Consider the following 13,604-nt stretch of genomic DNA (forward strand, 5'->3'; position numbering starts at 1 on the left):
AGTTCCCTACCCTCATAATTCCAAATCCTCTGTGGCTCTTGGACCAGGCAATTACCTGGGAACCACCTCTGGACTGGCCAGAGGGAAGCCCAAGCTTCTCCTAAGTTTCAGGAAGAGAAGCCTAGGTTCTCGGTGCTGTTGAAACTCAGCGCATGCGTGGGCAGTTCAGGAAAGTCAGACCAATGTCATATGACTCCTGCGCGATCCTCTCAGGAAACAGGGCCCCAGGCAATTTCGTTCCTAAGTGAGACTTCTTCCCTCATCATCCCTTTTGTTTTTTCTAAGCAAAAGTTACTTGGACCTTGCAGATAATTTCATATCCAGAGCCCTCCCATGCCTCGTGGGAGTACATAGGATAGGAGCCGGTGGTTCCGAAGCGCCTGCAGGTGCCACACATGGAGCTAAGGGGTCACTTTGCCAGGAGGATCTTATGAAATCCTCAGACAACCCTGAGATGAAGAACTGTTACTGTTCTTATTTTTACTGATAAGATGCTAAAGGTTCAGAGAGTTTAAGTAGCTTGCACGAGGTCACACAGCCAATAAGTGGTGGAGCTGGGACCTGGACTAGTCCCAGCCCTAGTGCCCACACTCATACCACCTTATAGCATGGGAATTCCAGGTCTTTCACAAAGTTGGAAGACTGGGATATAATGAGGAGGGAAGGCCATAGCTCCCCTACACCCATGGTCAGCCAAGCTCTGCCCATGTCGTGAGATGTGTATCGGAGCTACAACTCCTCCAGGCATTTTACCTGAGAGCAGGGACTCTGTCTCCCTTGAACTTTTCTGCATACGCTGTGCCTCAAGCCAGGCCTGATTCACAAAATAATGTTTATTGGCAGAATGAAGGACCGCCTCCCAAGCTGCCCTCATCCTGCTTTTCTCCTCCCTCTCTCCTAAGCTCTGAGTAGACACTGGGCTCGCCAGGCTTTCTATTTTTATTTATTTTTTATGAAACAGGGTCTCACTCTGTTGCCCAGGCTGTAGTGCAGTGGTGCAAACATAGCTCACTGCAGCCTCGACCTCCCAGACCCAAGCCATCCTCCCTCTTTGGCCTCCCGAGTAGCTGGGCCCACAGAAGGCAGGGTTCCTGCACAGGCACCAGGTTCTACTCAAGCTGACCTATGTTCCCACTTCTGACCCTAGCATGTTAAACATCCATGTCCCTAGATGGGCAGATGGGGGAGGTCTTGAACATGTGTCCTTCCTACAATGGGTTCTCAGCTGCTCCTGGTATCTCTATGAATGGGTTCTGAAGGTTTTCTCTCATCCACACAGTTTTAGCTCTTCTTTGGGTTTCCAGGGCTGCCCCGCAAGAAGCAAATCTAAGCAGGAGGTTAGCAACTGCGTTCTTGGCCCTGGTCTCCTTCCCCTGAGTGGCCACAGTGTGGGTGAGGTTCAGACTCCCCCATGGTGTGGCTGGCTCCTGGGTGGGCCCAAATAGCATGTTCATCAGTTATCAAATGTCAAAGATCAGAAGCCAAGCCATATAAACACCTCAAGATGCTGTTCCAGCAGTTATCCCCCGTATTTATCCACTGGAACAGCTTGACAAATCTGTCAGTGCTAAGGAGGGTAGGAATCAAATCATATAGGTCCCTATCTTCAAGGTGTCCACCATCGGGCTGAGGAGGCTTATATACATGGCACAGTTAGTGAGCAGTGCAAGGTTTGTGTGGTGCAGTGTGCCAGGCACAGCTCAGAAAGCAGGGATGGTGTTGGTGGGATGCAGGGGCAAAAAATCCTGATAAATAAAGCCTTTCAAAGTAGCTGAGCTATCAGGAGGTCCTCTCCTATCTTCCATACCCCATCTAGCATTTCATTCCTCTTGAACTACCTACTGCTACACAACAGACACTCTAAAACTTAGTGTCTCAAAACAATGCATTTTTATCTCTCACATCTCTGTTGACTGGGCTCAGCTCACTCAGGATGTCTTGCAGTTGGAACGGCTAGGGCTGAAATCATCTGAAGGTTCTACTGAGCTGGACATCCAAGGTCACCATCACTCACTCACATGGCTGGCAGTGATGCTGAATGTTGGCTGAGAGCTCAGCTGGGGCTCTTGACTGCAGCAACTATTTCTGGCCTCACTCTGTGGCTTGGACTTCTCACAGGATGGTGGCTGATTTCTAGAGCAAGTGTCCCATATTGAAGGTTCTAAGAGATCCAGGCAGATATTGCAAAGCTTCTTACAACCAAGCCTTGGAAGTTCCAGAATGTTGCTCCTAGCATATTCTGTTGGTCAAGCAAGTCACTATAGGTAGACCAGATTTAAGAGGTGAGAAGCAGCTCATGAATCTGAGGAGGGAAAGAACTAAAGGCTGCCATCTTGGAGACTGTCTATTACAGCTTCCTTTATATAAAGATAACATGCCTTTGTTGAACCGAGACAGAAAATGAACTCTCAACTGGGAAAGGAAAAAGAATCTGTCCCTGTGTCTAGAAGAAGGTACTTCTTCAAGTCCCACCCCAGCCTGTTTTCTTACCTCATACCCCAAGGTACATTCTTTGACTATGTCCTAGGCCCAGAATTCTGGAGTCAGAATGCGGAAGAGAGTGGAAAAAACCACTTACATCATCCTAACTAACCAGCCCACATTTAAGAATGAGATTGCTACGTGACTGTTGCCATGAAATTGTTTATCTGCCCTTGCTGCAGTGTGGCCTTTAAGGGACACAATCTGGTGCCAATGATGTCCCAGCAGCAGTTGCCATGGAGACCTGGAGGTCAAGGTTGGTAAGGGAGCTTCTTGCCAAGATGATGTCACATAAAAATCCCTTTGCTTTCTTGTGACCACCAGGTTATTCAGCTATGAAGGAAAAAGAAAGCCATAAATTCCTCAGATGTGTGTCCACAGTTGGAGCAGGGTGGGCTACTGCAGACTCCTAGCATACAAGTCACGAGACCTCCTTTGAGTCCTTGCACTCCCCCTGACTTGTCTGATGGGGGAGATCCATCTAACCTCACTGGACATGCTCCAGGAGCCGCGTTTGGAAGGCTGTGAAATCATCTGGTTGGGACTGCCTTTCTCACCCATCTGAATAATTCAAGCACAATAACTCACTTCTAAGCCTGCCGTTGGCTTCCCACAGCCTCTGTCTGCCAGTCCCCATTACCTATGGGGTGCAATCACTGTCCATATAAAGCAGAACTGGGGTACTTTGCACATGCCACCTCCCCCCAACTCACTCCTAGTCTACCCTACTTCAGAAACCTTATCTCCTTCCCCAACAACACAATGTATTTAAATAGCTACTAATTTCCTCTTCTTTCTTTCTTCTGCATAAAATTTCATTAATTATACATTTCTTGGTTCATGACACAATGTCATCTTTGTACCATGCACACTTCACTTGTATTTAGCTATTCAGTTATTTTTTTTTAAATAAACACCATCCAGTCAGCCCACAACCCAAAACAAAAGCCAGGCCCTTGACGACAACCAGTATGTCTTCCAAATTCCAAGTGACAGTGAACAGAAAAATGAAAGAGCCGTTCACCCAGCATAAACAAGGCGGAAGAAGCCCACGCCTATCAAAAGTTTCCATCTTCTAGCATCCGAAGATGGCGCATCTTCCAAATGTCTTGGTTTTTACATGACCCAAGTGTCCCAGTCTTTCCAGTCATTGAAAATTTGGGTTCTCAAGTGGTGTATCATTTTATCTTGAGCTGTGTGTCCTATAGAAACATGGAAGATGACTATTTCTTTTTTCGGCTAAACATGCAGCAGCCAGCAGACTAGAGCCAGCTTCTGCCTCGGGCCGCCCCGGGGCGCGGGATGGGAAGGGGTTAACGCAGCGCCCCGCTTACCTGGGGTAAAAGCCGGCACAGAACCCGAGCGCACAGGTCGCCGCGCGCATGCGCACTCTCCTGGCCCAGCACAGTGCTTGGGGGCCGGCGGCTCCCAGCTCCCGGGCCGCCCTGCTGCACAAAGGCCTGCTTTGTTCTCTCGGCTCTGTTTTAAATATCTGACGAATATTCCCCCCATCCCTGCTCCAAATCCCCGGCCTGACGGCAGGCGCGGCACAACGGCGCATTGTGGGGCCAAGCGAGGGGCGAAGGGGGCTGGGGGTGGCCGGCGCGATGGGGACGCTCCGGTTGCGCCAAGTTGACTCTGCCGTTTGGGTCACCTGGGCTGAGTCGCGGGCGTGGAGGCAGAGGGTAGGGGGTGAGGAGGTGTTTCTTGTCTTCTTCTTCCAATCTCAGAAGTAAACATTGGAAAGTGGGGCCCCCAGCAGTGTACAGCCCGTTTCCAAACCAGGCCTGTAAGGAGGAGCTGAGGTTTCGGCTGAGCCCCCAGCCTCCCCCGACCGCACAGCCTCGGGCATGAACCCGCGAAGCCAGACGCTTAGTTGCTTATCAGGCCATCGCTGTACATATTTAGAAAGTACCTATCACTCAGACACTTTGAAAAGCGTGGCGTTCCAGCGCAAACCAACCCGAACGGGTTGGAAGGGGGCAGTCCTTTCTTCCCGCAAGTTCGGGGCTCGAGAGACGGCTGCAGGAAGGCCATCACCCCTGGCTTCCTGCAGCCACAGCTTCCAGCCCCACACGATGCCCAACTTCATTTTAGCAGTGGCCCCCAGGGGAAATCACACCATTCTTGGTTTTGTCCCTCCCTCCTGAGGTTGGGACATTGTTCAAACAAAAGTAAGCCTTCAGCTGACAGAGAAGCTGCCCCGCCTCTTCCCTGCCCTTGTCTTGCTGGCATTCATTGGGACTACCAGGTAGCTTTCCTTCCCAGCTCAGGTGTTTACCTGCTGCTGCAGAGGAGGAGTTTTTGCATTGTCTCCAGGGGGTTTGCAAAATAAGAACCCCAAAACCCACCTCTCTTTCCCATTTTCTTCTTTAAAGGTAGAGAAAGCACTGCATTTCACATTGGGTCTTGGAAACCCAAAGCTAGACACAAAATGTGGGCGTTAGCAGCTCTGAAAAGTGTGTGCTTGGTCTTAACGTTTATTCTTAAAAAGGAGGTGTTCATACCCCAGCTTGCGAACAAAGCTTTCATACCCTCAGCATCTTGAAGGGAAATTGCTGCCCTTCCATCCAGGGCAGGTGAAGGAGGAACTGGCTTGGGAGGGTTGGATTCAGAAGCAAATAGCTTTATCGTTTTGTGATGCCTGTTTGAGGCCTGACTGGGAGCCCAGGAGTCCTCCTTCTGTGGTAGTTTGTTATAAATCCCAGGGTCGGACTTACATTCCCCAGCTGCAAAAAGCATACATACGTCCTAAGATATTTATTTTTAATCATACTTTATAATTTTCACATTTCACATATTGTTACATTTCACCAATACTCTAATACTTGAGTATTAAAGCTAATCCACCATAGACCAACAGTCTAACTTTGCAAATGAAGGAACTTGTCCAGAGCCATTCAGAAAGACAGGGCAGAGGCGAGCCTGGAGGCCAAGCCTCCTGTCCCTATGACCAGGTTTGGTCCCTTCTAACATGCTAGTCATGAACTAAAAGACCAGGTTTCCTACCACTTCTCACAAAATTCTTATCACGTCAGGGAGGATTCTGACTCCACAGTAAGAAGCTTTGGAAAAAGGTTTTTGGTATTCAGGTAGCTTTGAGGAGAGGGAGTCTCTTCTCAGTACAGCCCCTAGGAATGCCGAGTTTGCCAGGACTGTGCTCACAAGCTTAGAGACGTAAGTCACGTTCCATTGCCTGGGTTGCTAAGTGGCAGAGAAATCCTGGGTGTTTGTTTCCAGGCACTCTTGAGCCTCCGGAGGAATTTCTTCAAGCAACACTAACTGTCCTTTCACCACTCTGTTGGCCAGTGAACCCCCTATCTCTGTAGATGACAGCAGCCCGCTCTTTCTCCCCCACTAGTCCCCCTGCAGCAGGTCAGCCTGGAGCCACATCTGGGAAGGTGTGACCTAGAACTTGACCTCCTTCCCTGATGAGTATGCAGAATCTCCCCAGCTATAAAATAGCATGGCCGTCCCTACCCCACCCCCCATGCACCTCCGGACTTGGAGACATTGGAAGGTTTACTTCAGCACATTTGTGATGCGATACTAGCTGCTTGGAGAGAAACCTTCACCAGCAGCCTCATCCTATAGCAGTGCCTGCCCATCTGGGCAGGAGGTGCCAGGGTTTATACTCCCCTGAGCTTCAGAGGGTGGGATCGTTCCAGACAACCTTCGGCCGGTAACTTCTACGGGCACATCCTTTTTTTCGTATGTTCTACATTGACCCATACCACCACCACCATTCCAACCCCTTGAACCAACCCCTGGTTTCAAGCTCTCCCAGGCTGGCAGATGAAGGAACATTTCAAAGCCATCACGTGGTAATACTGCCTGCTGGCCAACAACTCCATTTCAACAGCGTCACCTTTGGACTGTTCAGCAGTGTTTGTGCAAGTATTTGAATATTTTCTGGCATTTTGGCCCTATTATTTTATAATAATAAGTGGAAATGGAAAAATGAAGTGCTGATTCTCATGATAAGAAGGGCAGGTCTCACAGAGCTCATATAATTGAGGCAAAGATGGAAATCATTAGGCACGCTGAAAGTGGGATTATGTAGCCTCAATCAAATGCTCACTGGAGTTAAGCCTGTCAACTATGTGTCCAATTGTTAAAAAAAAATGAATACAATTAGGGAGCATATATGAAATTCTGGACGTATATGGTCAAAGACTGTGTCTAAAAGGCGGGTGTAGTTGGGATATACTGGATTCCCTCAATTCTAAAGCTGCATTGATTTAATAGCAGTTTTCCAGGACTGGGTTGGGAAGACACTGTGAGACCAGAAATCAGGAAAATACAGTGATAATATTGTTTCACTTCCTGGGAACAGAACCGTCCCTCATAACATGCAAGTGTACTGCTTGCCCCTGGCATGGTGGACCAGAGGGTTTTCAGGACAGTATTAGGGTATGGGAGGAGGGAGTGGCCTGGAGATTGATCCCTTGGGGAGTCACTACAGCTCGGAAGCCGGGGACAGGCCTTTAGTTAATGTGCTAGAATGGATGGAACTTGACTCAAGAGAGGCCCTCATGCCACAAGGTTTTGAATCTCCCATGTGCCCGGCATATAGAAAATTTAGGGAGTTAAAAGCAAAGAGTATAAGGTGCACCTTTTCCTCTTTGGGCACTCGTCCCTTTACCACTGTCCCAGCTCTCCCTGGGGGCCATGCTGTCACTGGCAGCCTTTGCACGGTCTGTTCCCTCTGCTGGGAGTGTCTGTCCTACCTCCTTGGCTGCCTGGCCAGCTCTGGCTCACCCTTGAAGACGCCGCTCAGGCTCCTGCCTCCCCAGGCTCCAGTGTCTGTGTGTGCGCTGCGTGCTGGCCATCCACCTCATATTCTTGCTCTGTCCACACTGTATAACCATCACTGGCTGGCCTGGGAGAGTTTGAAGATGAGATTTCTTGTTCATCTTTCGATCCTCTGCATCCCAGGAGCCCTCAGTGAGGGTTTACTGAGTGAAGCAGGCCAGGAAGGAATGCTGCGTTCTCAGGAAGACCTCTTCAGCAAAACACTGTTGACCTTTGCCTTTGCATCATGCGCCAGGCATGACCTAGCACAGCCATTTTAAACCTCTGAGACACCAAGAAACTCTTTCTTTCTTCTCCAGAAGCCAAACCATTTGTTTCTAAATTCCGCTTTCTTTGCCTCCGAGGCCCCCTCATCTGGAGCCTTCTTGCCCATCTAGTGTCTGGAGCTTCACATCCTCCGGGAGGTTCTTTACTGATACTTTCAGTAAGTAAAGCCACTGACTTTTCCTTCAGCTGTGGGGTGCTCGCTGAATTCTTACCACTTCTTCAGGGAAAAACAACCTAGAAGCACTCTCTGATCCAAAGTGTTTCTCAGGGAGAGCGGCCAAGTGAGCACAGGAGCCGCTCGGCCGTCTGGGACTGTGATGTGATGTCTGAACAGCCTCTTTAGAAACACTGCAGCCTTTTCCAGGGATGCCATCCAGACGGGGACATCCCTCACAAGTTGTCTAGGGTCCTGGGGATGGAGGCCGGGAGCTCCGGATCGAGGGATTTAGCCTTATGGGGCCTGGTTGGCCCCGCCAGGCCAGCTGTGAATGAGGAGGGTGTCTGAGCTCTGTTTTGCACCCGTCCACTCACCAACTTATTCTTGACCTAACACACCATGCCCCTGCTGCCCTTGGCTGTGACGATGGGAAGCAACTGTCCAAAAAGCCTGAGGGGAGCCAGCTCCAACAAACCCACCGTTGGCCCACCATGCCCACCCTACTCAGCGCAATGACCAGTGGGTCTTTATGTTTTACAGTCAGGGCCTTGCTCTGTTGCCCAGGCTGGAGTGCAGTGGTACGATCACAGCTCACTGCAGCCTTGACCACCCAGGCTCAAGTGATCCTCCCACCCCAGCCTCCTGAGTAGCTGGTACTGTAAGCACACACCACCATGCCCAGCTAATTTTTTCTTTTTTCTTTTTCTTTTTCTTTTTTTTTTTTTTTTTTTTTTTTTTTTTTTGGAGAGAGGGGTTCTCACCATCTTGCCCAGGCTGGTCTTGAACACATGGGCTCAAGTGATCCTCCTGTCTTGGCCTCCCAAAGTGCTGAAGTGCTGGGATTATAGGCATGAGCCACCACACCCAGCCCTGGGCCTCTTTTTGAGGACACCAATGCCATTGCCTCCTGGCTAAACTGCTCTCCACACAAGTTAGTTCCACAGACTCTCCAGGTCCTTGGGACCCCATGAAACTCTCTGGGGCTGTGCCCAGAGTCCACTTGACAGAAACCTGATTCTTTTCCTGTGAGGCAAACAGCTGTGATCGGGACATGTCTGTCAGGGGATGACTTGGCAGAGCTACAACGCCAAGGCTCGGATGCATATTTTTTATGTGATTTCTTAAAATTCAAGCAGGAGAATACGCCTTCCCCCAAACGGCTGGCTCCCCCACTGCATTCGCATTCCCCCCACGATGTATAACAGGAGTCCGCAGCCCACCCCTGGAGAGGACAAGGCTGTAATTCAGCAAGGCTCCAGTGACATCCTGACCGTGAGAGTGCAGCTGGGGCAGTTTATGAACAGTGCTCTAGTCCCTGGGGGAAGTTAGCTCTGTTCTCCAGCCCACAAGAGTCTATTGTTCGCTTTCTTGTTTTTCTCCAAATGTTTAGATGTGCTCAGAGCACAGAAAAGCCCGAAACCCAGGCCACCAGCCAGGGCGATCCTGAAGCAGGGAAGCCTGTGGGCTGGAGCTCGTGGGGCTACCCCCACCCACACACACCCATTGTTGTTCCTACCTCGCCCTAAGATGTGACCGTCCTGGAGGACAGAGGTAAGGGAGTGGCCTCTTTTTGGCCAGGGCTGTTTGGACAACAGTGGGCTTGGATTGTTCCAGCAAGTGAGGTATGAGACCACAGCTCAGGCTCACTTGGGTGGTAGCCAGAAGCAACTGCCCAAGTTACCTTGGGCCCATCCAAAATGTGCACAGAGAGAGTTTGGCAACTGTCTTCCAGTTGCTTGTCACTGACCAAGACTGCTGAAGTTTGACAGGAATAAGCAAGTTCTGGCCTCCTGTCTGCATCAAGAATCTGGGCTCCAAGGTACAGCCTCTTGAGTTGGACTCCTGCCATCAGCTCTTCCTAACTGTGCAAACTTGGGCAAGTTACTTAGCCTCTCTGAGCCTCAGTTTCCTCCTGGGTAAAATGGCACCTACCTCGTAGAGTTACTGAGGATTCAACAAGGTAATCAAGGTAAGCACTCGCACAGAATGAGCCCTCAATACATACTGGTTATTCTTTGTATTATTACTGTTATCAATGATTACTAGTACACCATCCCAAAGTCACCTCCTCTGCTTAGAGCATCCATTTTTGTACCTAAACCGAATGCCTTCAACAGTCTCCAGTTGTGGGTCAGAGAACAGCTGTGCAAGAACGGCAATGCCAGAGGAATGAAGGATGAAGTGCCTTGTGATGTGGGGAGGAGAGAACGTGCTCAAAAGCCCGTCGCCTTTGCCTCCCACTCCCCTTAGCCCCAGATCCCTTTCTCCAGGGCTCATATTACCTGCCCTCCCCCAGTGGCTGGGATTCTCAGCCTGCCACTGGCTCCACAGTCCCTACAGAGCCACCGAAACCCTCCCACCCCTGCCTGGAAAATGCCTCTCCCCCGTATACCACCTTGGCGGCCACCACTAGTCAGCCAGTAATGGGGTGGGGGTGAGACGGAGGTGGAGCCTCTGGAAATGGTGCTAGATCAAGGGAGAAGGAGATCCAGGACCCCAACTCCGTAGGCCTGGGATGCTGAGTACAGTTTAGAGATTGGGGATTCATTTACACCAGCTTGGGGGGCTTTGGTGTGAAGGGAGATGGACAGAGTATGAGGGAGGAGGAAAAGGTAGAGGGTAGAGGAATGCATCCTGAATCCTAGTCCTTTCTGACTGGGACAGTTCACATCCATAAACGAGGCTCTGGGGCCTGCCTCAAGAAATGGAACTATGATGATCCCCCTTTGGATGCATTAATCCTTTCAAAAATAAGACTCTGGGAGCCTCCGGTGACAGGGCCATATGGTTTCCTTATCTTCCTTATCTTCCAGCACTCACCTTCCATTTGGAATGTTTATCCCAAGATAATGATCAGATTCCACTTAGGGTGATTGAATGGGGGCCTCTGAGTATCCCCCCCTCAATTTCAAATGAATGGGTGATCCGATCCAATAATAGATGAGCCTAACAGTCTCCTGCTAATGGATGGGGCTCCTCAGCCCCATGCCATGCACCCCCAACTTCCTTTTCCTGCAAATATCCACCCCCTTCAACCTGGGCAACTCCACTTTTACCTGCTTTATATAGTGGAGGGTGCTCTGTGTAAAATTTCTAGTGAGCCAAATGGAACTGCTTTAAACTATGTTTAAAAACCAGAGATGTGATGCTAACTCAGCGATTTTCAATAGAAATGTAATGCAAGCCACAAATGCAAGCTACACGTGTCATTTTAAATTTTCTGATAGCCACACATCTGTAAAAATAAACAGATGAAATTAATTTTAAGGATATATTTTATTTGAAATCTAATTTATATCATAGTTATTTAATATAATTAATATATACTATATTTTATTAAACCCCAAAATATTTTAACTTGTTACCAATATAAAAATTATTTGTGAGGTATTTCACCTTCACTTCTTTGTACTTAGTCTTCAATATCCAGAGTATATATTGATTCTGACTAGCCACATTTCAAATGCTCAGTTGCCCCTGGGCTAGTGGCTATTGTATTAGATAGGGCAGATCTAGACAGACCACACTAAGAACCTAGGGCAAGGACAAACTCTGATGGGCATAGTTGAGCTGGCTGCTAGAGAGAGACCCTTTGAGAAGAAGAGCAATTTACAACTTTGCTCTGAGTCTAAGTGGAGATCTAGCCATCATCTTGCTACCTCTCCTTGCCTTTCCCCTCCCAGGGAGGAAAACACATAGGACACAGCATTTTTTTTTTTAAGTGATAGCAGTTTTAATTGCTACTAATTTAATGGCAGTCATTTCACCTGCTAATAAAATTGTCCATTGAGGCCTCCAGCCGTGAGTGCTTTTTTCCATGGACTGTTTAAAAGTGAAGCTAATGCTGATTGTCACCAAACATCCATGTCATGGATCCACTGTACTTTGTCTGAAGAAGGGGAGGCCCGACTGGGGTAGACAGAGTCAGCTTTGGGTGATCACTGCCAGTAGACACCCTCTGATTCCAGAGAACAGGAGACACAATTCAGCCTTTGACAGGACATTCAGATAAGTGTTCACTAGTCAATCGGATACCATATTTAAGGCTGGGCGTGGTGGCTCACACGTGTCATCTCAACACATAGGGAGGCTGAGGTGGGTGGATCATTTGAGGTCAGGAGTTCGAGACCAGCCTGGCCAACATGGTGAAACCACGTCTCTACTAAAAATACAAAAATTAGCTGGGCATGGTGGCAGGCACCTGTAGTCCCGGCTACTCGGAAGGCTGAGGCAGAAGAATCGCTTGAACCCAGGAGGCGGAGGTTGCAGTGAGCGGAGATTGTGCCACTGCACTCCAGCCTGGGCAACAGAGTGAGACTCAGTCTCAAAAAAAAAAAAAAAAAAAAAAATCCATATTTAAATGGCCATTCATGTTCTGGACCAGGCATTGGAAAAGAACAGAGTTTGTGTTCGGAGGTTTGTATATGTGCTTGATGTCTCCCAGTCCTAGTGAGTCTTGAATGAGTTAATAATGTAACAGGTCTCCTGCTGAAGCAGACATGCCCAGCGCCTCCCTGATCTTCAAATCAAGATAAACACATACAAGAGCAGGCTGGGAGGGGAGTCCTCTGGCAAAGCAGGAGGACGGCGGCCCCAAGCAAGCCCTGCATGAGGGAAGGTGGGGAAGTAGATTCCAGGCCTCTTGGGAGAGCCCTTCGTTGACCACCTTGTGGAATAGTTGCTCTCTAGCCCCTGTCTCTGCTTTGATTTTCTTCAGAGCACTTATAATTCTTGACATTCTATTTTGTTTTTATTTGTTGATTGCTGTCCTCAGCTTTGTTTCTTGCTACTTCCCCAGTGCCTAGAAAGAGTGCCCGTCACTCTTAACAAACTTTTTTTTTCAGACAGGGTCTTGCTCCATTGCTCAGGCTAGAGTGCAGTGGTGCAATCATAGCTCACTGCAGCCTCAAACTCCCGGCTTCAAGTGATCCTCCCACCTCAGCCTCCAGAGTAGCTGGGACTATAACCATGGCCATCACACCTGGCTAATTTTTTAATTTTGTGTAGAGATGGGCTCTTGCTATGTTGTCCAGGCTGGTCTTGAACTCCTGGCCTCAAGCGATCCTCCCACTTTAGCCTCTCAAATTTCCGGGATTGCAAGCATGAGCCACCTCACTCGGACTTCGTAAACATTTGCTGACTGAATAAATAGTATGAGGAGTTTGTTCCAGCCATCCTGGGCAGGCCTGAAAGATCTCTGAGCTTAGAAACAGCCAGAGGATGAGAACAAGCTGGTAGGAGAGGCAGAGCGAGATGGTGGTCTTTGTATGTGATTCCCCTAGTAATGGGGAGACGGAGAAGAATTTGCAGAAGTGAGGGAATGTGATTGCAGCACAAAGGCAGCAAGATTATTTTGTCAGCAACATTTGGATCCCATTGGTGATGAGAGACATGTGGGCCCGGCAAGGAGACAATTGTGGTAGTCAAGACAGGATGTGAATAAGACATAAAGAAGCGTTTCATCAGTGGGGATGGAAAAGAACCAGGGCTGTGGCGGCCGAGTTCAGGAGTAGGAAGGGTCGGTCAGGCGTTCATGAGGACCTCTTCACATACACACACACACAAACACACACACTTGCACACACAGGCAGCCTGCTGGGACCATTCATTTAGAGGCCCCCACAGCACATTTTAGCACAACTGCAAACCTCACCTTCTGCCTCAGGCTTTGGTCTTTGTCTTCTCTTTGCTTCTTACCATAGCTGGGAACATTGCCCTGTGAAGGGCAGGGCCCAGAAACTTTGGAGGAGGCAGTTTCTTCAGTCACAGCTTTTCTCCTGGCTAGTTTGCAGAGGTAAGAGGCCTCAAAGTCACAATGTCCCTCGGGAGAGAAAGGAGAGAAGGCCAGTGAAGGAAGGCCTGGAAGAGGAGAGAAATCCTTTTT

General features: G+C 49.1%; 1 protein-coding gene and 2 long non-coding RNA genes across 3 annotated transcripts in view, besides 1 other annotated feature; 1 reads left to right on the forward strand and 2 right to left on the reverse strand.

Annotated features, from left to right (window-relative positions):
- The window catches only part of RAD51B (RAD51 paralog B), an 863,318-nt gene that overhangs the window by 804,758 nt on the left and 44,956 nt on the right, over window positions 1-13,604 (forward strand). The window lies entirely within an intron of this gene.
- LOC100996664 (uncharacterized) lies at window positions 991-4,251 on the reverse strand. The gene is made up of 2 exons (NR_135816.1): window positions 3,816-4,251; window positions 991-2,814 (listed from the first exon to the last, which is right to left on the reverse strand). It is a non-coding gene; the product is annotated as an uncharacterized LOC100996664 (long non-coding RNA).
- Window positions 3,910-3,959: a silencer, noted in NCBI's record as "silent region_5868". NCBI's record gives its function as "represses an Ori minimal core promoter by ATAC-STARR-seq in GM12878 lymphoblastoid cells {active_cell/tissue: GM12878}" and the evidence as "EXISTENCE:reporter gene assay evidence [ECO:0000049][PMID:35858748]".
- RAD51B-AS1 (RAD51B antisense RNA 1) overlaps window positions 11,232-13,604 on the reverse strand; it is a 49,673-nt gene continuing 47,300 nt past the window's right edge. The window contains exon 4 of the long non-coding RNA XR_007064220.1: window positions 11,232-13,541. This is a non-coding gene — a long non-coding RNA (RAD51B antisense RNA 1). The remainder of the gene's footprint in view (window positions 13,542-13,604) is intronic.

The sequence above is a fragment of the Homo sapiens genome, chromosome 14 (assembly GCF_000001405.40).
Source record: "Homo sapiens chromosome 14, GRCh38.p14 Primary Assembly".
Classification (NCBI taxonomy): Eukaryota; Metazoa; Chordata; class Mammalia; order Primates; family Hominidae; genus Homo; species Homo sapiens.